The 25094-nt window shown below is 43.0% G+C and overlaps 1 protein-coding gene across 15 annotated transcripts in view, besides 2 other annotated features; it reads right to left on the bottom strand.

The window, feature by feature from the left end:
• The window catches only part of RNF220 (ring finger protein 220), a 246942-nt gene that overhangs the window by 158561 nt on the left and 63287 nt on the right, over nt 1–25094 (bottom strand). The gene's annotated exons all lie outside the window — the stretch shown is intronic.
• Nucleotides 7894–8772: an enhancer, noted in NCBI's record as "H3K27ac-H3K4me1 hESC enhancer chr1:44950064-44950942 (GRCh37/hg19 assembly coordinates)". NCBI's record gives its function as "activates a minimal SCP1, AML or CMV promoter by ChIP-STARR-seq in naive and primed H9 embryonic stem cells {active_cell/tissue: H9 hESC(naive and primed)}" and the evidence as "EXISTENCE:reporter gene assay evidence [ECO:0000049][PMID:30033119]".
• Nucleotides 8773–9652: an enhancer, noted in NCBI's record as "H3K27ac-H3K4me1 hESC enhancer chr1:44949184-44950063 (GRCh37/hg19 assembly coordinates)". NCBI's record gives its function as "activates a minimal SCP1, AML or CMV promoter by ChIP-STARR-seq in naive H9 embryonic stem cells {active_cell/tissue: H9 hESC(naive)}" and the evidence as "EXISTENCE:reporter gene assay evidence [ECO:0000049][PMID:30033119]".

The raw sequence follows: 25094 nt of genomic DNA, 5'->3' as shown, positions 1-25094 counted from the left end.
GTGCATGAAAGTAAGTTTTCACTGTGTTTTGATTATGAACCATCACATGAGGTCAATATGGAGTTTTCCACTTGTGGCATCGTGTTGGTGCTCAAAAATTTTGGATAGCCAGGCAAGGTAGCATGCATTTGTAGTCCCAGCTACTCAGGAAGCTGAGGCAAGAAGAATGCTTGAGCCCAGGAGTGTGAATCCAGCCTGAGCAACATAATGAGACCTCATCCATATATAAAAAAAAAAAAAAATTCAGATTTTGGAGCATTTCAGATTTTGGATTTTCACAGTAGGTATGCTCAACCTGTACATTAAAACAGTTGGCTTGCCGTCACTACAAATGGCTTTTAGAGCATTTTCATCACCCCTGAAATCCATACCTTTAAACAGTCACCCCCAATCCTCCCCTCACCCCAGCCCTAGGCAACTACTAATCTACTTTCTGTCTCTATAAATTTGCCTGTTCTGAATATTTCATATAAACGGAATCATATAATACATGGCCTTTTGTATCTGATGTCTTATAATTAGCATGATGTATTCAACGTTCTTCCATGTTATAGCATGTAACAGTATTTTATTCCTTTTATGGCTAAAAATATTCCATTGTATGAACAAATCACATTTGTGTTTATCCATTCATCAGCTGATGGCTATTTGGGTTGCTTCCACCTTTTGGCTATCATGAATAATACTTCTATGCATATTAGTGTACAAATTTTTGTGTGGACCTAATTTCAGTTCTTTTGGGTATATACCTAGGAGTGGAATTGCTGGGACAAATGGCAACTCTATCTTCAGCTTTTTGAGGAACTGCCAGACTGTTTTCCAAAGTGGTTACACTATTTTACACCCCCCCGGGAGCATATGGTTCTTCCAATTTCTATACATTTTTTACCAGCACTTGCTATTATCTGACTTTTTGATTATATACATCCTAATGGGTGCAAAGCAGACTCTCATTGTGGATTTGATTTGCATTTCCCTGATGACTAAAGATATTGAATATTTTTCGTGGGTTTGCCAAGTATTCATACATCTTCTTTAGATAAATATTCAGATTCTTTGCCCATTTTAAAATTGAGTCATTCTGTTTATTATTGACTTTACTTCTTTCTTTCCAATCTGATGACTGTTATTTTCTTGCCTAATTGCCCTAGCTAAAACCTCCAGTACTATATTGAATACAAATGGTAAGAGTGGATATCCAGCCAGGCACAGTGGCTCACACCTGTAATTCCAGCACTTTGGGAGGCCGAAGCGGGTGGATCACTTGAGACCAGGAGTTCAAGCCCAGCCTGGCCAACATGGCAAGACCTCATCTCCACTAAAAATACAAAAATTAGCCGGGCGTGGTGGTGTGCACCTGTGGTCCCAGCTACTCGGGAGGCTGAGGCATGAGAATTGCTTGAACCAAAGAGACAGAGTTTGCAGTGAGCTGAGATCATGCCACTGCACTCCAGCCTGGACGACAGAGTGAGACCTTGTCTCAAAAGTAAAAAAAAAAAAAGAGTGGACATCCTTGTCTTGTTCCTGATCTTAGGGAGGAAGCATCCAGTCTTTCACCATTAAGCATGGAGGAAGGCCCCTTCTATTCCTAGTTTGTTGAATGTTTTTATCATGAAGTGGTGCTGAATTTTGTGAAATGGTTTTTTTGCATCTATTGAGATGATCATATAGCTTTTGTTCTCTCTTGTATTAATATGGTATATTACATTGATTTATTTTGTATCTTACACCAACTTTGCACTCCTGGAGTTAATCCCACGTGGTCACAGTATATAATTTTTTTTATACGTCACTGGCTTTGGTTCACTAGAATTTTGTTGCAGATTTATATATACATATATATATATGTTCATAAGAGTTATTTGTCTAAAGTTTTATTTTTTTGTGATATGTTTGCCTGGTTTTGGTATCAGAGTAATAGTGGCTTCATGAAATAATTTGGGAAAGGTTCCCTCTTTCTTGTATTCTTTGGAAGACTTGGTGAAGAACTGGTATTAATTGTTCTCTAAAATGTTTGGTAGAATTTACCAGTGAAGTAATCTGGACTTGGACTTTTCTTTGTGGGAAATATTAAAATTAGCAATTCAATTTCCTTAATTGTTATAGGTCTATGCAGATTTTTCTTCTTCTTGAGTCAGTTTCAGCAGTTTGTGCTTTCTAGAAATTTGTTCATTTTATCTGATTTATCTAACTTTTTGGCATATATTTGTACATAATATTCTCTTATAATGCTTTTTTTATTTCTGTAAGTCTGGTAGTGATGTCTCCTCTTCCATTCCTGATTTAGTAATTTGAGTCCTCTCTCTTGTTCTTATTCATTCTAGCTAATGGTTTTTCAATTTATTGATCTTTCCAAAGAACCAATTTTTGGGTGTGTTGATGTTCTTCTTTGTCTTTCAATTCTATATTTCATTTATTTATGATCTCATCTTTATTTCCTTTTTTCTGCTTGCTTTGGGTTTAGTTTGCTCTTTTTTTCAGTTTTTAAATTGGAAGGTTAAGTTATTAATATAACATCTTTCTTCTTTTTAAAGTATAGGCATTTACAGCTATAAATTTCCCTCTGAGTGCTGTTTTAGCTGTATGTCATAAGTTTTGGTGTTGTGTTTTCATTTTTATCTATTTAAAGGTACCAATTTCTATTGTGATTCCTCCTTTGATACCTTATTATTTCTTTTTTTTTTTTTGGAATGAAGTTTCGCTCTTGCTGCCCAGGCTGGAGCACAATGGCCCAATCTCAGCTCACTGCAACCTCTGCAGTGAACCTCTGGGTTCAAGTGATTCTTCTGCCTCAGCCTCCTGAGTAGCTGGGATTACAGGCGCTCGCCACCACGCCTGGCTAATTTTTTTTATCTTTACTAGAGACGGGGTTTCATCATGTTGACCAGGCTGGTCTTGAACTTCTGACCTCAGGTGATCCACCTGCCTCGGCCTCCCAAAGTGCTGGGATTACCAGGCATGAGCCACCACGCCCGGCTGATACCTTATTTATTATCTTTAACTATCCTTAAGAAACATATCCAGTATTTCCCTTTCTAGTTGATTTCATATTTTGCTACTCAACTGGTCTTACGAAGAACGGTTTAGTTTAATAATATAGAAATTCAAAGATAGAATTATGTGTAAAACAAAAAAGAACATAGAAAAAAAAGTAATTAGTTCTAACAAAGTACATTTTACAATAGGGATAACGACTGAGCAGGGTTTGTAAGGACAAATAGTAACACACCAGCTAGGCAAAGAGATGATAGACCATTTCCCAGGTGGTAGAAACAGCTTGAGTAAAGACTTAGAGCTGCGAGACAAAAGGGGATATTCAAGACTACCCTTTCCCCTATTTCAGCCAATGGGATTCTGGTGAAGCAGATTCTGCCCTTGCATTCAACTGCGGGGTCATGAATGTGACCCAGGCATTACACAGTTGAAGGATGACTTCTCCCTGGCCTCAATGATTGGTTCAGGAATGGGCGTGAATCAAAGCCAAAGGAATGCACCAGGACTTTCCCTGAGATTTCGAGAAAAAGACTTTTGCTTTTTCGTGCTGAAAAATGTGCAACAGGCAGCTGAAAATCTAAGTCATCCTCATGTGGTTTTAACCAGGTAGATGGATGACAGCCAAGGGCAAGTGCCTGGCACATAGTGGGAACTCAATGTGTATTCACTAAATACATGAATGCATGAACAATTGTATAACAGAATCTCAAAGAATACGAGGAGCTCCCAGCTGAAAGCCATCTCCCTTTCCTCTGAACTCCCAAGACAGCTTATCGAATTGTTCTTACAGTGTTTACCATCTTCTGCTTCATAGTATGTATAGTTATACGGAAATGTGTATTATCTCTTAGTATCAAATGCTTGTCTGATGCTACTTATTTGTAGTCTATATAAGATTTTATATCACGTGGCCCCTTACCTACCTCTTCGGTACAACTTTTTTTGCTCCAGCAGTGTTTTAGAACTTGCTGTACCCTGAACATGCCATGTTCATGTGTTCCTTTTCCTCCAGAATACAAGAACGCTTCAACTCAATTACTAACCAAGTGCCTTTTGCTTGCAAAGTGAGATCCATTATTGAAGGATGATATCAACCTAGAGTGGTAATGAGCACTTTTTAATTAAATACAATAGAATAGAGCCAGGAGTGGTGGCTCACACTTGCAATCCCAGCAATCTGGGAGGCCAAGGCTGGCAGATCACTTGAGGCCAGGAGTTAGAGACTGGCCTGGCCAACATAGCGAAACCCCATCTCTACTAAAAATAGGAAAACTTAGCTGGGTGTGGTGGCGTGCGCCTGTGGTCCCAGCTACTTGGGAGGCTGAGGCAGAAGAATCACTTGAACCTGGGAGGCAGAGGTTAGAGTGAGCCCGATAGCACCACTGCACTCCAGCCTGGGTGACAGAGTGAGACTCCGTCTCAAAAAAAAAAAAAAAAAAAAAGAAAAAAGAAAAAGAAAAAGGCTAAGTACTATTTTTGTGAAACTTTTGTTTCAGTTGTTCATGTGTACTGAGTCATGATGTAAAACATATTTCTTACTATAGAGCACAGTGCAGGCTGGGTATGGTGGCCCACGCCTGCAATCTCAGCACTTCGGGAAGCTGAGGCAGGAGGATCATTTGAGCTCAGGAGCTCAAGACCAGCCTGGGAAACACAGCAATACCCCATCTCTAGTAAAAATAAAAAATTATGACATGGCGAAACCCTGTCTCTACTGAGAATATAAAAATTAGCAGGGCATGGCCGGGTGTGGTGGCTCACGCCTGTAATCCCAGCACTTTGGGGGGCTGAGGCGGGTGGATCACCTGAGGTAAGGAGTTCGAGACCAGCCTGGCCAACATGGTGAAACCCTGTCCTCTACTAAAAATTAGTCGGGTGTGGTGGCGCACGCCTATAATCCCAGCTACTCGGGAGGCTGAGGCAGGTGAATCACTTGAACCCAGGAGGCGAAGGTTGCAGTGAGCCGAGATCGTGCCACTGAACTCCAACTTGGGCAACAGAGTGAGACTCTGTCTCAAAAAAAAAAAAAAAATCAGCAAGGCATAGTGGTGCTTGCCTGTAATCCCAGCTACTCAGGAGACTGAGGCAGAAGGATCACCTGAGCCTTGGGAGGTCGAGGCTGCAGTGGGCTGTGATCATGCCACTGCACTCCAGCCTGGGTGAAAGGGCAAGACTCTGTCTCAAAAAAAAAAAAATCGCAGTGCCAAAAGGCTACCACTCTAAGATACTCCTATTACTAAAGTGAGCAGGTCCCTAGTTTATTTATTTTTATATTTATTTATTTATTTTTGATACAGAGTCTCACTCTGTCACCCAGGCTGGAGTGCAGTGGTGCAATCTCGGCTCACTGCAACCTCCACCTCCCAGGTTCAAGCAATTCTCCTGCCTCAGTCTCCTGAGTAGCTGGGATTACAGGTGTGTGCCACCATGCTCAGCTAATTTTTGTATTATTATTATTGTTATTATTATTATTATTATTATTATTATTATTATTATTTTAGTAGAGATGGGGTTTCACCATGTTGGCCAGGCTGGTCTCAAACTCCTCACCTCAAGTGATCCATCCTCCTCAGCCTCCCAAAGTGCTGGGATTACAGGTGGGAGCCACCATGCTCGGCCCACGTCCCTACTTTATAACTCAAACAAACAAGGATGCCCAGGGGCTTCTCTCCCTTTATCTCCATCCTAAATTTTGAGACTTTACTCTCAAAACCCAAATTCTGCAAAAGGGTCACAAATCAGGGTATAGTCCTTACTTCTGTTGCAGCAACCACCATTTTATTTTATTTTTTATTTTTTAAAATTATTTATTTATTTATTTATTTATTTATTTTTGAGACAGAGTCTCGATCTGTCACCCAGGCTGGAGTGCAATGGCGCAATCTCAGCTCACTGCAACCTCTGCCTCCCAGGTTCAAGTGATTCTCCTGCTTCAGCCCCTCAAGTAGCTGAGACTACAGGCATGCACCACCATGCCTGGCTAATTTTTCTATTTTTGGTAGAGGCAGGGTTTCACCATGTTGGCCAGGCTGGTCTCGAGCTCCTGATCTCAGATGATCTGCCCGCCTCAGCCTCCCAAAGTGCTGGGATTACAGGTGTGAGCCACCGCACCTGGATGACAATTTTTAAACCGTCCTTCTAATTCTAACACACAACCTGGGCTAAAGCAGTTTGCTGCTGTTAATTGTGTTACTTATAATAATAGTTAACATTTATTGAGCACTTGCTGTTTGCCAGGCATTGTTCTAGGCTTTTTGCATGGATTATCTTATTTATTCCTTAGAACAACCCTAGAGGTGGATAATATTATTGCCAATTTCATTTGGTAGATTGTGAAGATTGACTCCTGGAGACATTGGCTCAACTTCCCAAGTCCACACAGCTAGGAGGTGGTGGTGGAGCTAAGATTTGAACCCAGGCAGTCAAGCTTCCCAGCCCACTCTTAGCCATGAAGCTCCATGGCTTCCCAAGTGGGCTTTACCGTTCAACAGACACATGGACGTGTCATGGAACAGCTCTTCTGGAATGGCCCTAGGTAGGTATTGCTGAAGACTATTCTATACTGTGATGCTTATTTTTCCTAACCAACCATTTTGATAAAAAACCAGCCTGATTTATTTGGCCCTGGGTCCATAGATCAATGTTAATCTGCATGTTGGTTTAAGCTCTCACTAGTAACCTTGGAGAGAGAGAAAAGAAGAAGAAAAATGAGGCCAAAATTCATTTTAAATTTTAAAGTTATTTTTAAAAAGAAAGATGACGGGGGAAGAGAACATATGTCTGTCTCTTGAAAGGAATGAGCCTCTGTCTATTGCCCGTGATTTTCTCTGACTTTGAAGCTCTGGCCCCTGCTGGAGCCTCTGAGCTCTCTCAGCCTATGTGCTCCTGTTAAAGGTGATGAGGACAAAATTGGGACAGGTCGCCCAAAGGCCCCCCCCTTTCACTTTGTTCTGGGCGAATGCTCTTTCTGAACATTCTCAGCTTTAGCTAAGCAAGGAAAGGGCAGCCCCTATTTCATAAGAAGAAAGGAAGACGGTCTGGGAGACTGTTCCTTCCCCAAGTATTCAGAGAGTTGCTGAATAATAGGGAGAAAAGAGTCAGAGAAAGGACAAAAAAATAAAAAAGTAAAAATAAATAAAAAATAAAATGACACAGCATAGCTCTAAGCCCTCTCCTATCAGGTTTTACAGAGGGGCAATAGATTTTCTTCATTGCCAGTCCTGACTTATCACAGCCTTGTTTTTAATGAGGTATAATAAGGGGAACATTTTGTAACAACACGGTTCCCCTATTTTATCCCGCAAACAGCTGTGTCATGCTTGTGGCTGGAAGAATGAATCATATCTCTGCCTGCATATGCTAACTCCCATGTAATTACCCCAGCATCTTAAATAAAGCAGGCCCTAAACCTGTCGCTCACATTACAAGCAAACGGTGCAGACCTCGTAACTGGGGCCTCTATTATTACAATTAATTTATCACAGAAGCGACTGAGATTAGAGGCTAGAATTAAAACCCAGAGCATGGAGAGTCACCGCAGTGACACTGAAAAACAGGCTCTTGAGAGGTGGCTGGCTCCAGCGGCTGCCTGACTAATGCCTTTCCTGGGGAAAAACGGCCTTAGTTGGATTTTGTTTTCTTTATATTTTTCCCACTCGAAGATTTTACTACAGTGATTTCGGTGCCTCTCTTGATTCAAAATGATGTTGGAAAAATTCTACCTGCTACTTAACCAGAACCCTGAGCAGGAGTCACTGTTTTCTCATTCTTACACAACCACTGTCTCTCCATAGGAACAATCCCGGGAGACCTCCCATTTGTTTTTGTTATTAGAAAGGAATTTCTCATGACATCAGTTTGTTTCCTTTCAGGGCGCAGGAGATTGGGGGGAGGGAGAGAATAGTCTAGAGCATTTGCCTCAAATATAAAATGCTGTTTGCATCTCTTCAGGCAGGGGTTTCTCAGCCAGGGTTCCTCAACTGAGCCACAAAGACAGAACAATTACCTAAGCAACTCTTTTCTTTTCTTTGTTTTTTGATGGAGTCTCGATCTGTTGCCCAGGCTAGAGTGCAGTGGCACGATCTCAGCTCACTGTAACCTCCGCCTCCCGGGTTCAAGTGATTCTCAGCCTCCCAAGTAGCTGGGACTACAGGCACGTGCCACCATGCCCAGCTAATTTTTTGTATTTTTACTAGAAATGGGGTTTCATCGTGTTAGCCAGGATGGCCTCGATCTCCTGACCTTGTGATCCACCTGCCTTGGCCTCCCGAAGTGCTGGGATTACAGGCGTGAGCCACCGTGCCCGGCTGTCAGAGCAACTATTTTCTTAGTTCTCCCAAGGATAGTACAACTTGTACATCTAGACTGTACAATCCAGATGCATAGGAGAGAAATTCATTAATTACAGTCAATGGCTTAGGGCATTCGTGCTTACCATGGTTGAAAAAGGTTGAAGAGAGACAATCAGATTGACCCAGTTACAGCAATACCGAGGGACCCCACCTGAGAACCCTCCTCCAGATGTGAGTCAGCTCCCATTCTGTTCAAAACAGTTCTTACTCAGCCCCTGGTGCCCAGCCTCCTTTCGTTCATGGAGTGGCCTCTGCCAGTCCTCCCACCTAAAGCCCCAAGTACGTGCTATGTCTCCAGACACGGCCACAGGGGGATCCTGTGGCTGTTGCCTTCGTACTCACTGGTGCTCAGCAGTCTACTGTCTTTGTCAGTTCTACCCACTGTGCGGCAGTTTGCTATGTGCTCACTTCTTCCTCTTCTTCCTGGGCACACAGCTCGACTGCATTCCCAGCCTCCCTCGCAGTTAGATAGGAATTCCACTCACTGGATCGTAGGTGGAGGTGATGTAAGCCATTTCCCCTGGGCCAATAAAAGTCTCCTACTTGACCCTTCATGCTCTTTTTTTTCTTCTATGCCAGTTACAGCATCCAGCAGGGGGATCCTGAACCCTAGGGGACGGCTCAACCTGAATTCCAAAGGCACCGCTATGTGACTGCCTTCTAAAAAGGATTTGTTGGATGTAGTCATTAGCCTACCCTAATAAACCCTGAAAATGAGATGCCTCGACCCCACCTCAGGAGGCTCTACAGCTTGTGAAGAACAAGGAAGGAAGGAGAACCAGCCCAAGGCTGGGAAACAGTTATTCCCAGATTTTGGAGACATTTCACTGCTTGCCTAGGAAAAGCAAGGGTAAGGGGCTTAGGAGGGCCAAGGCTAGCAGTGAGCCCAGACTCCTGGAAAGGGGGCTCACAGCTTCAGGGGTTTCTCACACACCAGACAAGCTGCATTCTGATACGTTTTGGAAGGCTCAAGGCAGAAAAAATCCTAAGAGGGAAGGCTATGAACATCTGATTTAAACAAAATAATGAAATATGCAAAAGCAAACTATAAATCATAATCTCAAATCAGATCAAGTTGCACCACTGCTTATACTCTTTGGCCCTCTCTGATCTGACCCCTTATCTAGCCTGCCACCGCTATGTTCTCATAGCTCCTCAGACATATCTTCATTGAACACCTCTTCAGAGTAACCTGCTAGCCCACTAGCTCAGGAGTTCTTCAAGGTCTGGAGAAGAGCCTCATTTACCTCCATACCCCTTTAGCTAGCTCTGGGCCTGGAACCTGGTACTAGCTCAGTATCTGCTAAATGAATGAGCACAAAGCACTGTACATGTTAGTATGATGAGTATATTTTCTGATATGGGCATGGCACTTCTCCCTTTCCTGACTCCATTGTTGAGATGCTTTCTAAAATAGTGCTGTGAGCCTGGACATAGTTCTTCCACACATTTTCATTTGGTTTCCCTTCTGATCTAGAACAGTATTTAAAAGCTGGGCTTCTGACATTGAGCAAGGTAGAACAGGTCTAACCGGCTGCAAAGGGATGGAACTCATCCTTTTAAAAGGTGTGTATTAATACTATGCTTGGGCTGGGCATGGTAGTTCATGCCTGCAATCCTGGCGCTTTGGGAGGCTAAGTCGGGAGGATGGCTTGAACCCAGGAGTTTGAGACCAGCCTGGGCAACAAAGCAAGACCCTGTCTCTACAAAACATAGAAAAAGTAGCCAGGCGCGATGGTGTGCACCTGTAATTCTAGCTATTCCAGAGGCTAAGGCAGGAGGACTGCCTGAATCCCGGAGTTTGAGGCTGCAGTAAGCCACGATCGTTCCACTGCGCTCCAGCCTGGGCTACAGAGCAATATCCCATCTGGACAAAAAAAAAAAAAAAAAAAAAAAAAGGCTGGGTGTGGTGGCTCACTCTTACAATCCCAGCACTTTGGAAGGCCGAGGCAGGTAGATCACTTGAGGTCAGGAGTTTGAGACCATCCTGGCCAACATAGTGAAACCCTGTCTCTATTAAAATACAAAAATTAGCCAGGCATTGTGGCACATGCCTGTAATCCCAGCTACACAGGAGGCTGAGGCACGAGAATCACTGGAATCTGAGAGGCAGAGGTTGCAGTGAGCTGAGATTGTGCCACGGCACTCCAGACTGGGTGACAGAGCAAGACTCTGTCTAAAAAAAAAAAAATTTACTGAATTACCCTAGACTATGCCAAGGATAAATGTGAAGAATCCTATTTCAGATCCCCTAGAACTCAAATGCCTCATGACAACCAGAGCATAGCTCCTTTCTTCCTACAGAAAGATTTCTAGCTCCACTGAAGCTATTCATTGCTCACTGAGAGAAGGAACACAAAAATTCTTTGAAAAATATGCAGTATCTAAAAGGTGAACGGACTGGAGTTAGTATCAGTCTTCTCTCCCCACTTCCTTCAAATGTCTTCACCACAGCAACTGCCCTCCACCCCTCCTGCTCCCCTGAGAAGGGAGCCCCAGGGATCCAGACTAGACCAGGTCTGGTCTGCAGGCCGTGTATTCTTAGTTTTGTCTCATTTTTTGAACATTATTTCTCTATGGAAAAATGAATCTGTTTGGAATAGAAATCAAATATGGGTTCATGGTCAGATGGATGGGGTTTGAATCCCAGTTCTGCTACTTGTAAGTTGAGAAACTTTAGGAAAATTAACCTTTTAAGCTTCTGTTTTCTTGTCTGTAAAATGGGAATGAAATAAAACCAAAATCAAGGGGCCCAAGTACTGCATGCAGAACTTCTGGTGCAATGCCTGACACAGAGCAGGCACCCAGGAAAAGCGGGTGCTCATTGTTTTGGCTTCTTATCTCTGAATTAACTTCATCTGCTCCTTGTTCTCTCCTGTTACAACTGAGAGAATGACCCTCTTACGACTGAAGTCTAATCCCTCACAAGTGGTCTGGATTCCATCCCTTCTTGTCTTTTAAACTGCTTCATCATCTCTGTTTCTTGACTGTCAGTCTTTTTCTTTGCCTGGATCACTTCCACCAGCACACACACACATGCACTGCTATCTTCTCTCAAGAACAAAAAAGTTCTCTCTCTTGATTCCACATCCTCTCCACTTGCCATCATATTTTTCTGCTCTTCTTTTTTTCCCCCTTTATTTCTTCTAAAGAAAAACAAACCAAAGAAAAGGGATACATGTACAGAACGTGCAGGTTTGTTCCATAGGTGTATGTGTGCCATGGTGGTTTCTGCTCCTATTGACCCATCCTCTAAGTACCCCCCGCTCAACCTCCAGCTCCCAACAGGCCCTGTGTGCGTGTTGTTCCCTTCTCTGGGTCTATGTGTTCTCATTGTTCAACTCTCAGTTATGAGTAAGAACATGCGGTGTTTGGTTTTCTGTTCTTGTGTTAGTTTGCTGAGGATGATGGCCAACCCAGGATGGAGTGCAGCAGGGCGATCACAGCTCACTGCAGCCTCGAATTCCTGAGCTCAAGTGATTCCCCCTGCCTCAGCCTCCCAAGTAGCTGGGACTACAGGTGCACGTCATCAAACCCAGCTAATTTTTAAAATTCTTTTGCAGAGATGGAGTCTCACTATGTTTCCCAACCTGGTCTTGAACTCCCGGGCTCATGCAATCCTCCCACCTCAGCCTCTCAACGTGCTGGGATTACAGGCGTATGCCACCACGCTCAGTCTTCTGCTCTTCTTTATCCCCAGACACCTCCAAGGTGTTGTCTACATCTGCTGCATACATTTTCTCACCCCCTATTAGCTCTTCAATTCATGTCAACTTGAATTTGCCCTGTCATTCCACTAAACTGTTCTCAAAGTGACCTATTGCCCTCCATATTGCCAAATCCTGAAGACATGTACATCTCTGTCCTTGATCTCCCAGGAGCATTTGACGTAACTCATCATTTTCTATTTTATTTTATTTTACTTTATTTTTTGAGACGGAGTCTCACTCTGTTGCCCAGGCTGGAGTGCAGTGTTACAATCTCAGCTCACTGCAACCTCTGCCTCCCACGTTCCAGCAATTTTTCTGCTTTAGCCTCCCAAGTAGCTGGGACTGCAGGCGTGCCCCACCATGCCCAGCTAATTTTTGTATTTTTAATAGAGACAGGGTTTCACCATGTTGGCCAGGCTGGTCTTGAACTCCTGACCTCAAGTGATCCCAAAGTGTTGGGATTACAGGCGTGAGCCACTGCCCCCGGCCCATTTTCTCTTTTAAAACACTCCTTTTTCCTCCTTGGTTTTATGATCTCTATTGTCCATTCCTTCTCAGACTCCTTTCTTCTTTTCCTCTACCACATCTTTAAATGTTAGAGTTATCCAGGGCTTGGGTCTGTGCCCTTTTATTTTCTCTCTTTTACACCATTCATTTTCATTTCATCTTTTGCAATCACTTAATTAATTAATTAATTAATTTTTGAGACAGAGTCACTTTGTTGCCCAGGCTGGAGTGTAGTGGCACGATCAGGGCTCACCACAGCCTTTACGTCCCAGGCTCAAGCGTTCCTTCCACCTCAGCCCCCTGAGTAGCTGGGACTACAGGCATGCACCATCACACCTGGCTGATTTTTTTTGTATTATTAGTAGAAATGGCATATCACCATGTTGGCCAGGCTGGTCTCAAACTCCTGGACTCAAGTGATCCACTTGCCTTGGCCTCCCAAAGTGCTGGGAGTAGATGTGAGCCACTGTGCCCTGCCTTTGCAGTCATTTTAAATAGCAAGGTGCTGTTATAACTAGAACAACAAAACACAAAGATATGTGACATTGGCTTTGGGACTAGGCAAGTGGGCAGCAAGGAAGCTGGTATAAAAGCCGGGAATAATAGCAACTTGTATTATTTAGTGGTAAACTTGTGACTAAACTACAATAATTTGGAAGGCAGGAAACGTATCTTATAAACTAGCAAAGGTGAAGGAGGGGATCTTAAGGCAAAACATTGCAAGCATGAGCTGGCTGCTTTTAGCTGTATTTGATGAAGCACTAACAAGAAAGTGATAAACTCAGAAAACTGGCTAGTTTGCAAGCAGGATTCAGTGGGAATATAGAGAACCCAGAATTTGTGGGGTTGAAAAATAAAACTTTCTCATCTCCAATCTCTCTAGTAAGAGATTTTCAAATTAAGATCCATCCTGGGGCTAAAGACCTAATCCAGAGTGCGGCAAGAACGATACTGTTTCCAGGTGAAGTCAAAATCAAGAGTATTAAGCTCTGAAGGAAATCAGATGGCATCTAATAGGCTCTTGCAGCTGAAAATGAAGCTTGTAGAAAACTTAAGAGCAAGGTTCTACAGCAGCCTGACATTCCCAGTACTTAAGTCTCGGTAGATTCTGTCTTGTAAAAATTGTGGGTGTGGCTTGTGGTACATAGAGTTGATGAGTATAAAACACATAAAAATCCACAAAGTTGGCCGAGCGCGGTGGCTCACACCTGTAATCCCAGCACTTTGGGAGGCTGAGGTGGGCGGATCACGAGGTCAGGAGATCGAGACCATCCTGGCTAGCACGGTGAAACCCTGTCTCTACTAAAAATATAAAAAATTAGTTGGGCACTGGTGGCAGGCGCCTGTAGTCCCAGCTACTCGGGAGGCTGAGGCAGGAGAATGGCGTGAACCCGGGAGGCGGAGGTTGCAGTGAGCCGAGAATGCGCCACTGCACCCCAGCCTGGGCGACTGAGTGAGACTCTGTCTAAAAAAAAAAAAAAAAATCCACAAAGTTTGTGAGAGAGCTGTATTGGTGAAAGACTGCCTGCTCCAACGGAAAGAAACAGAGACTATTGAAGATGTAAAAAGATTTCTGGGGCCCCAAATTTCTACAAGTAGGCAGTAGGCTGAAAAAAGCTGCTCACCCACAAAAATTATTTAATATCTTTTTCAGAAGTGTCCATGGGTGATGTCCAAGGATGATAGAAAAGGAAGGTCTTCCAGAGGAGTGCACCAACAGCCACGGGGAACAATGGATGGGAGATCCAGAATCAGAGCCTAATCAGAGAGCATTCTCAACCCCTAGGACCGTGGGACCTGTCAACATTTGCCCAGTAGAATTTCAGAACTGCTATGGACTGGCGATTTCTGATTTCATTTCTCTCTCTCTCTTTTTTTTAGAGACAGAGTCTCGCTCTGTTGCCCAGGCTGGAGTCCAGTGGCATGATCTCACCTTGCTGCAACCTCTGCCTCCCAGGTTCAAGTGATTCTCTTGCCTCAGCCTCCCGAGTAGCTGGGACTACAGGCATGTGCCACCACGCCCAGCTAATTTTTGTATTTTTAGTAGAGACGGGCTTTCACCATGTTGGCCAGGCTGGTCTCGAGCTCCTAGCTTCAGGTGATCCACCCACCTTGGCCTCCCAAAGTGCTAGGATTACAAGCAGAAGCCACCACGCCTGGCAGTTCTTCCCTTTTTTTTTTGAATGGAATAATTTATTGCTGCTATCCTGTATTCTACCACTGTATGTTGAATGGGATTTTTTTAAGTTCTTAGGTCTTCAGATCAAGAGAAACCATATTTAGGCCTGATATACAGATGATAAGATCCTGGATCTTAAGCCAAGTACCATGATTTGAGTAAAAATTGGGGGAGGCTGCATTTGGGAGGCGGAGGCAGGGAGATCACTTGAGGTCAGGAGTTTGAGACCAGACTGGCTAACATGGTGAAACCCCGTCTCTACTAAAAATATAAAAATTAGCCGGGTGTGGTGGTGCATACCTTGTAATCCCAGCTACTTGGGAGGCTGAGACAGGAGAATCGCTTGAACCCAGGAGGCAGAGGCTGCAGTGAGCCGAGATTGTGCCATTGCACTCCAGCCTGGGTGACAGAGCGAGACCCTGTCTCAATAAATAAATGAAATAAAAACTGGGGGAGTCTTGGGATTGTGGGTGAATGTATTTTGCAGGTGGGAGGGATGTGAATATTCACAAAGAAATGTACTGTTGTAGATTAGATTATTGTTCAAAAACATTTACTCCCCAACTACCTCCATGGAGAAGTTTACCTGCTTCTTGACTTTTGACTCAGTTTTGTGATTGTTTTGGCTAATGGCACATTAGCAGATGTGACCCAAGCATGTACTTGTGTGCTTGGTCCTCCTGGAGAGAAGAGCTCTCCCCAGGTAGCTACTGTCTATTCAGCCTAAGCTGCAGAATGAACATCTTTGGATTAGACCTACTACAAGGAGCAGAGGTTCCTGGCCAAGCTGAGCTTAGATCAGATCACCTACAGATGCATGAGAAGTAAGTGCTGTTGTATGCAAAGGAGATTTTTGTGGATGCTTTTTATGTAGCAATAGCTGATTGGTTCTCATTCTTCAAATGCAAACAAGCATTTTTCTGCCTCAGGACCATTAAAATACCTGTTCCTTCTTTTTGAAATGTCCTTGCTCATTGCAGGCCTTAACTTCAGTTCTTAATTTAAATGCATTTCATCAGAGACCACTCTTGATAGATCACCCTATTATTCTAGATAGTTGTGCGATTTATTTCACAGCATTCATCCGCATTTGTAACAATAAATAATTCTATGTTTACTTCTTTTCCCCACTGGACTATAAGCCTTACAAGGGAAGGGACCATGTTCATTTATTCACCAATGCATTCCCAAAGTGTAGGATTAAGACTGGTGGATACTGGACTGCTAGTAAATATTTACTGAATGAAAGAATTTTTTAAGTGAGTGAATGAACTTCATATGCATATGTTAGGAAACACTTTGCATACTCTTTGAGCAGCTTTAGAAAATGTAATTCAATTTCTTTCCATTCCTCTTATTTTTAATAAGAATGATTTTGTTCCCTTCCTAATGAGCTGTGCTTCCCAAGGAATTAGGTTGCTTGCTTGGTAGCTTAACCAACCAATTTGGCCAAAACACATAACTGATGGGCTCTTTGCTTACACTTTCCCTGCTTGCTTCTGGACCAGCATTAGGACTCTGGGTCAAAGATGCAGCTCAGGCCATCTGCTGTTTCTGCTAAGGCCAGAGCAAACTTTTTCATAAAGTTTGATTAGTCTATCCACCCTGAAAACACAAGCACGCTCACAAAAATCCCATACAGACACACAGAGCTTGCCTCAAGGCTGTGACAGAAACCTGAAGCCCAAGGCTATCTCTAGCCTGATGGTTGCAAGCCCACAACCCAGTGACTCTAACATCTGCCTTCCCTAGGCTCTCTCAAGCTTCCTCCCTGTAGTATTTGCTGCCCCAACTACAAGGTCTCAATAACAGTCTTTGCAATATTTCTAGGGCCACAGACCACACACTGTGAGAGAAAGAGGGCCTGGGAAGCCTGGAGATCTTCTCCTAAGGACAGGGTAGAAACAGCAGTCAGGGCATGGATCCCGGTACAACTACCCAGCTAAGCTCATTGTTTCTGGAGGTTTGGCTTTCTGGCTTTTCTAACTCTAAATTTCTTCAAGTCAAGATCTTTGACTTTAATCTCCGTACTTTTCTATTTTCTTTTCCTTCTTCAAGGCATTAAACTTTTATTAAACATTATATATGAGTTACGTGAAAGTTATGAAGCCCAATAAAATGAACATTTGTGAACCACCATCCCACTTAAGAAATAGACCATGACTACTCACAGTTGGCATCTCTTATGTGCTCCTTCTGGACCCCAAGTCCCTACTTCCCCATCCCACCCACAGAACTAGCATCTCAGATTTTTCTCCCCCTCAGGTCCCTATTTTCTTTATAGCTTACCAAATATATATATATGTTCTTAAGCAATATATTGCTTAGTTTTGCTTGTTTTGGAACTTTATAAGCATGTATATCATACTGTATATATTCTTCTGCAACTGATTTTCTTTTTTCTTTTTCTTTCTTTTTTTTTTTGAGATGGAGTCTTGCTCTATTACTAGGCTGGCGATCTTAGCTCACTGCAACCTCTGCCTCCCAGGTTCAACTGATTCTCCTACCTCAGCCTCCTGAGTAGCTGGGACTACAGGTGTGCGCCAACACACCCAGCCAATTTTTGTATTTTTAATAGAGACAGGGTTTCACCATGTTGGCGAGGATGGTCTTGATCTCTTGACCTCATGATCCACCTACCTCGGCCTCCCAAAGTGCTGGGATTACAGGTGTGAGCCACTGCGCCCAGCCTCTGTAGAGATTAATACACTCAATAATGGCACCCAATAGATGATAAATCCTATTACAGAGAAACTCTCTTATTCAATGCATTGGATGATTAATCTGAAAAGTCCTGTATATCATTAAACAGAGATATATACTTACCTTGAACTTTTTTTTTTTTTTTTTTTTTGAGACCGAGTCTCACACTGTTGCCAGGCTGGAGTGCAGTGGCTCGATCTCGGCTCACTGCAACCTCTGCCTCCCAGGTTCAAGTGATTCTCCTGCCTCAGCCTCCTGAGTAGCTGGGATTACAGGCATGCGCCACCATGCCGGCTAATTTTTGTATTTTTAGTAGAGACGGAGTTTCACCATGTTGGCCAGGCTGGTCTTGAACTCCTGACTTTAAGTGATCCGCCCGCCTCGGCCTCCCAAAGTGCTGGGATTACAGGCATGAGCCACCGCGCCCAGCCTGAACATTTTATTTTAACTTAAAAAATATAAATATAGATTCATTCTCCAAGTTTTTGATGTAGGGCCAAAGGTATGTGTCTGCTGACTGGCTTTTCAGATCTTTCCTGCATAAATCACACCCAAAACACATTGTCTACAATTTTAGTTTTTAGTGGAACAAGAACTTAAAGCAATTAGAGTGCAAATTCCTAGACTGTTGTGATTTTTTTTTCCTCAGTCTTACCCACATATCTTTCAACAGCAATTATTTTAGGGATTCGCCATAATTTTCAACTTGGCTTTCATAGAAAAAAAAAATTCTCCAATTGTATATCACTGCGTTTACAAAATACAGTTGTCCCTTCGTATCCATGGCGGATTAGTTCCAGGAGACCCTCCAGACACCAAAACACTTGGATGCTCAATTCCCTTATATAAGGTGGCATAGTATTTTCATATGACCTTCACATATCCTTTTGTATATTTTAAATAATCTCTAGATACTTACAACACCTAACATAATGCAAATGCTATGTAAATAGTTCTTATATTTATATTTATATTTATTTTTGTATTGTTGTTTTTGTTTTTATTTTTTCGGAGACAGGGTCTCGCCTTGTCACCCAGGCTGGAGTGCGATGGTGTGATCATAGCTCACTGCAGCCTGGAACTCCTGGGCTTAAGTGACATTCCTGCCTCAGCTTCCCAAGTAGCTGGGACTACAGGTGCATGCCACCACACACAGCTAATTTTTAAATTTTCTGAAGAGACAGGGTCTTGCTGTGCAGCCCATGCTGGTCTTGAATTCCTGGTCTTAAGCGATTCTCCCTCCTTGGCCTCCCAAAGTGTTGGGATTACAGGTGTGAGCCATACCACTCCCAGCCTATTATTATTATTATTATTATTATTATTATTATTATTATTATTATTTTTGGAGACAGAGTCTCGCTCTGTCACCCAGGCTGGAATGCAATGGCGTGATCTCGGCTTACTGCAACCTCCGCCTGCCGGGTTCAAGCGATTCTCCTGCCTCAGCCTCCCAAGTAGCTGGGATTACAGGCACACACCACTAGGCCCAGCTAATTTTTGTATTTTTAGTAGAGACGGGGTTTCACCATGTTGGCCAGGCTGGTCTTGAACTCCTGACCTCAGGTAATCCACCTGCCTCAGCTTCCCAAAGTGCTGGGATTATAGGCGTGAGCTACCACACCCGGTCTATTATTATTATTTTTTTATTTTTTTTCTTGAATATTTTTGATCCGTGGTTGGTAGAATCTGTGGATGCGGAATCTGTGAATACAGAAGGCCGACTGTACTTAATGAAATTAGGTAATTGCAATAATAACTAGCACTGGTATAAAGAGGCTTAGAAACAAGTACAGCTGAGTTATGGTAAGCACACAAGATAACGCATGGGAATGGCAGTAAGTGGCCATACTGTATACTAGCAAAACCATCAGCCAATAGTATGTCGTGGGCATCAGTTAGAATGTTTTATACAGGATATACAGAGTGTCGGTTAACCAGGCATGTAAGTTAGGTGGAAGTTGGATGAGATAGCTACGATATTATTATTCTCTTTGTTTCTACCATTGACCTAGTTACAGAGCCCAATTATCTTCTCAGCTGACCCCTCTGAAGGAAATTATCTTCAATCAGGCTTGGTTCACTGTTGAGGTTTGCCCCTGGCCAGAAAGGAACAGAGGAACACATAGACTCCCCAAGAAATGAAGCCTAGTAAGTTGGAAGAGATTTTAAACTATTTAGTTTTCAAAGAGTTACTCCTGATTTCTGAGACCCGCCCCGCCCCCCGCCCCCGCCATCCCTGATGAGCTGAGATGGGGAGAAAAGTTCCACCTTTCTACACTGTCCTGTGATGGGGCACCGCATTGTGGAGAGGAAGAAGGTCTGACTTTAATTAGTCAGACCATCACCCTACTAAACTCCACTGAAACCAAAACAAACCAGGCAGTCCCATATGTCATAAGAATTAAAGGCATGGTTCCCACTTCCTAACGATGCTTTTACAGAAACCGTTCCACTGTAAAACTTTATGATTTGAATCTTTATAGCCGCCAGCAGAGCACATGTTCACTGCCTTAAATTATAACTTAATCACAATAGAAGCTGACTTTCCAGCCCTTTGCAGTCAAGACGGGAGAAGGAAGGGGCCTCCAGAACAAACGGCTGCTATTCCTCTGCCCACCTGCCTCCTCCTGCCCTGCCTAGTGTAGTCCCAGGAAAGCAGAGGACGTGGGGAAACACACACCTCACAGCCCAGGAAAACCTCAAAGCCAGAACCTTCCAGTATGGTCTAGAGACATGAATATCATCCTGTCCGGAACGTATGTGACCTAGTTAGGGCAAAGTGAGTGCTGCCGAGAAGCAAAAGGCAAGAAGGATCAGAGGGAGAAAGGCAAGGTGGCAGGGAGCCACAGGCACGCGCACCCATCCCGTCACCCTGCTGGCCCAGCTCACTGCATTCCTTAACTTTGGTTGACATCCTCTATTGTTGCAGACTAGTTTGACAAAAAAAGGAAACAAAAGCAAAATATCCCCACCTCTCCTCAGTTCAACACAGCTAAAACAGAAAGTGTGAGAAGGAGAGTGACAGAAGCTGTTGGACCGGAAGGCTGAGGCCAGATCCTGAAGGGCCTTGTGTGGCACACTCAGAAATGTTTATTTTATCCTGTAGGCAATTGGGAACCATTCAAAATGTTCAGTACTGAAGCAACCTGATGAGATTGCCTTTCAAAAAGACTCTACATTCAAAGAAGATACACAAACGGCCCCAAAATGAAAAGATGCTCAGTATCATTAGTCACTAGGGAAATGCAAATCAAAACCACAATGAGATATTGCTTTACACCCACTAGGATGGCTATTTTTTAAAATCCCAAACAAAACATAACAAAAAAACAAACCAGAAAATAAGTGGCACCCAGGAAAACTGGAACCCTCATGCAAGGCTGATGCAGGAATGGTGTAAATGGTGCAGTGGCTATCGAAAAGAGTTTGGCAGTTCCTCAAAATGTTAAACATACAGTTATCACGTGACCCAGCAATTCCACTCCTAGATATATACCCAAGAGAACTGAAAACATATGTCCACACAAAAACTTGTACAGCAATGTGCACAGCAACATTATTATAATAGCCAAAAGGTGGAAACAAGATCCATTCCATCAACTGATGAATGGCTAAACCAAATATGGTACATCCATACAATGGAATACTATTAAACCATAAAAAGGAATGAAGTATTGAAACATGCTACAATAGTAGTAAAACTTGACAACATTATATTAAGAGAAACAAGCTAGACACAAAAGGCCACAGGTTTTATGATTTTATTTATGTGCAATGTCTAGAATAGGTAAATCCACAGAGATGGTAAGCAGATTAGTGGTTGCCAGGAGATGGAGAAGAGGGGGAATTGAGAAGTACAGGGCTTCTTGTTTTTGTTTTTTGTTCTTTTTTTTTTGAGATGGAGTTTCGTTCTTGTTGCCCAAGCTGGAGTGCAATGGTGCGATCTCGGCTCACCGCAGCCTCTGCCTCCCGGGCTCAAGTGATCCTCCTGCCTCAGGCTCCAAGAAGCTGGGATTACAGGCATGTGCCACCACGCCCAGCCAATTTTTTGTATTTTTAGTAGAAACAGGGTTTCATCATGTTAGCCAGGCTGGTCTCGAATTCCTGACCTCAGGTGATCCGCCCACCTCAGCCTCCCAAAGTGCTAGGATTACAGGCATGAGCCACTGTGCCTGGCCAGTATGAGTCTTCTTTATAGCGTGATGAAAATGTTCCAGAGTTAGAGGGTGGTGATAGTTGAATGACATTGTGATTATACTAAAAACCACTGACTTGTACACTTTATTTTATTTTGAGATGGAGTCTCGCTCTGTCACCCAGGCTGGGAGTGCAGTGGCACGATCTTGGCTCACTACAACCTCTGCCTCCCAGGTTCAAGCGATTCTCCCGCCTCAGCCTCCTGAGTAGCTGGGATTATAGGCACCCAACACCTCGCCCAGCTAATTTTTGTATTTTTAGTAGAGACGGGGTTTCGCCATGTTGGCCAGGCTGGTCTCGAACTCCTGACCTCAGGTGATCCACCAGCCTCGGACTCCCAAAGTGCTAGGATTACAGGCATGAACCACTGCACTCAGCCAATGACTTGTACACTTCAAAATGATTAAAATGGTGAATTTTATCTTTTTTTTTGAGATAGGGTCTCACTCTGTCACACAGGATGGAGTGCAGCAGCGGGTCACTGCTCACTGCAGCCTCGAATGCCTGAGCTCAAGTGATCCCCCTGCCTCAGCCTTAGTGGAGGTGGAGGTCAATGCTGAAGTCCAGTGGGTTGGGAATGAATGGGAGATAAAGAAGCGGAGAAGGTCACCTTCTCAAGTATTCATTGAATGTCTCCTATTTGTCAGGCCACGATAGAGAGGAAATCCTTCCAGCAAGCTTTTGAAATAATAGGAAGGGAAGAAATAGGAAAGTAAATGAGGAGGATGCAGGAAGAGGACGGGAGGGAAATGAGAGAGCCAAAAGGACAGAAGGGTCCAGCTAGAGAGCAAGAAGTTTAAGGTTGATGAGTTCTTAGTGATGAGGTTCACAGTGTGGACATGGGACTGGACAGTGAAGTGGAGTGGTGGTAAAGGTCTATAGAAATTAACAGGCCAAGAAACTACAAATGTGAGGGATCAGATCATTCCATCCAACAAATGAGGAGGAGTGGAGACTGTCAGAGAACAGACAATGACAGAAGCGAGAAGACAGTAGAATAGTGGAACAGCAAGGGTCTCGAAGAAGGGGGAATTGTGTGTATCCATTTTATTTTTCTTTTTTACACATAAATAAACCTGTATATTCCACTACTAGCTACTTAGTAGACACTCCATAAATAAATGTTGCCAACTGACTGATGTGTACTCTCAAAAGCATCTCAAAGCTGGCATGTTCTAAACTGAACTGTGATTCCCTTCCAAACTTAGTTCTCTTCCATTGTTATCTGTCTCATCTATTCCACTGCACATGCCAAAATCTTAGGAAGCATTATTGACATATTTCCTTCCTCTTTGTCACTCTTGAGATGGAATCCATCATCAAGTCTTAACAATTTTACTTCCTAACATCTCTCACTTATGTCCACATTGCTCTACTTCTACCATGGTGGTCTAAGCACCCATCATCTCCTGTCTACTTTATCTGCCTCCTTACTCACCTCTGCACATCTGCTCTTGTTTCCCTGCAATGCATTCTCTACTCTGCAGCCAGAGACATAGTTTCAAATGTGACTCTGATCAGGATGTGTGTCCTTTACGCCTTCATCCCATTCAAACCCTTTAAGGGATTCCCATTGTTCTTAAGAGTAAGAACTCCTTAATGTCAGACTCCTCTGCAGCCTCACCTCGTACTATACTTTCATACTATTTTCAGTCTTTTTCAACCTAGTGCTTGTCACTATCCCTCCTGGTAGGGCCTTTGCACCTGCGATTGCCTCTGCCTACTGTTTTTCCTCTCTGTTGCCTAAACGCCTATTCATCCTAATCAGTTCAACTTTGCAAAAATTTTTGTCTGGGTAATATCATACTCAGGCTCTCATAGCACTGCATAATTCTTCTTCACAGTGCCTGCTACAGTTGCAATGTTACATTTGACTAATGCCTGTTTCCATGAGGACAGGGACTGTGCCTCACACATAGAAGGAACTCAGTAAATATTTAGTGAATGAATGAATGAATGAATAATATACCAATAAACTTGCTCAGTGGTGTTAAGTGGCAGATCTGGGACTGTGTCCCAAGAGGAAATGTATTAGGGGGGAGGTTTGAAAAATGAACTCCAAGATCCCTTCCATTTCTGAGATTTGTGCTTTCTAGGTGAACTTCTATTATTTTCCTTCCCTTCCTTTTCTTAGGCTGGTTTGCCTGGCCTTATCTATACACCTCCACTGGGTACCATAAAGAATTAAAGACCCTACGGATTGGAAGGAATTAGTTCCTTCAGATGTTGGAAACCTTTCCTTTATCAGATGATTCAAAGAGACTCCTTAACAACAACCTTAATAATTGGTTATTTATTCTCTACTTAAACACATCTAATAATAGAGTTCAATTCTTCTCCAAAGGATTCCCTGTGGGTTTTCTTTCCTTTAATAATATATAAATTAGGCATCTTTTTCATATGATTATTGGCCATTTATATTTCTTTCTAAAATGAGTTCTCATATCCTTTACCCTCTTCTGTTAATTTTTTAGACTGATTTATAAACTCTCTGTAGATTAAAGAAATTAGCCCTTTGTCATATTATGTTGTAATATGTTTTCCAGTTTGTTGTTGATCTTCTGATATTGTTTTTGGCATCTAAACAATTCTATTCTTTTTTTTTTGAGACAGAGTCTCGCTCTGTTGCCCAGGCTGGAGTGCAGTGGTGTGATCTTGGCTCACTGCAACCTCCGCCTCCCAGGCTCAAGCAATTCTCGTGCCTCAGCCTCTCAAGTAGCTGGGATCACAGGTGTGCATCACCATGCCCGGCTAATTTTTTTGTATTTTTTTGTAGAGACCGAGTTTCACCATGATGGCCAGGCTGGTCTCAAACTCCTGACTTCAAGCAATCCACCTGCCTCAGCCTCCCACAGTGCTGAAATTATAGGCATGAGCCACTGCGCCTGGCCTAAAGAATTCTATTCTACATGGAACAAAATTTAAAAGATACAAAAGATTATATAATGAAAAATAAATCTTCCTTCACTCTTGTTTTCCAGCTCAATTCCCCTCCCCAAACGCAAGTACTATTAAAGTTTCTTGTATATCTTCCCAGGGCTTGCCTAAGCAATAACTTATATATATAGCTGTTTATCTTCCTACAACACACACAAAAGGCAATAATGCACTCCGCTTCCACGTCTTGCATTTTCACTTACGACACAAGATATATCAGAGACCTTTCCATATCAGTACAGGAAGAGCTGATAGATATTGCCAAATTGCCCTCCATAGAGGTTGAACCAATTTACACTCTCATTAGCAATATATGCGAATGTCTCTTTCCACACCTTTCACCGGTACAGGCATACCTTGTTTTATTGCACTTTGTAGACATTACATTTTTTACAAATTGAAGGTTTGTGGCAACCCTGTGTTGAGCAAATCTATCAGTGCCATTTTTTTAACAGCACGTGCTCACTTTGTGTCTGCGTCACATTTTGGTAATTCTTGATCTTTGATGTTACCATT

Source organism: Homo sapiens, chromosome 1 (assembly GCF_000001405.40).
Source record: "Homo sapiens chromosome 1, GRCh38.p14 Primary Assembly".
In the NCBI taxonomy this organism is placed as follows: Eukaryota; Metazoa; Chordata; class Mammalia; order Primates; family Hominidae; genus Homo; species Homo sapiens.
Note: the sequence above shows the minus strand (reverse complement) of the source record. Positions and strands in the feature narration are given on the sequence as shown.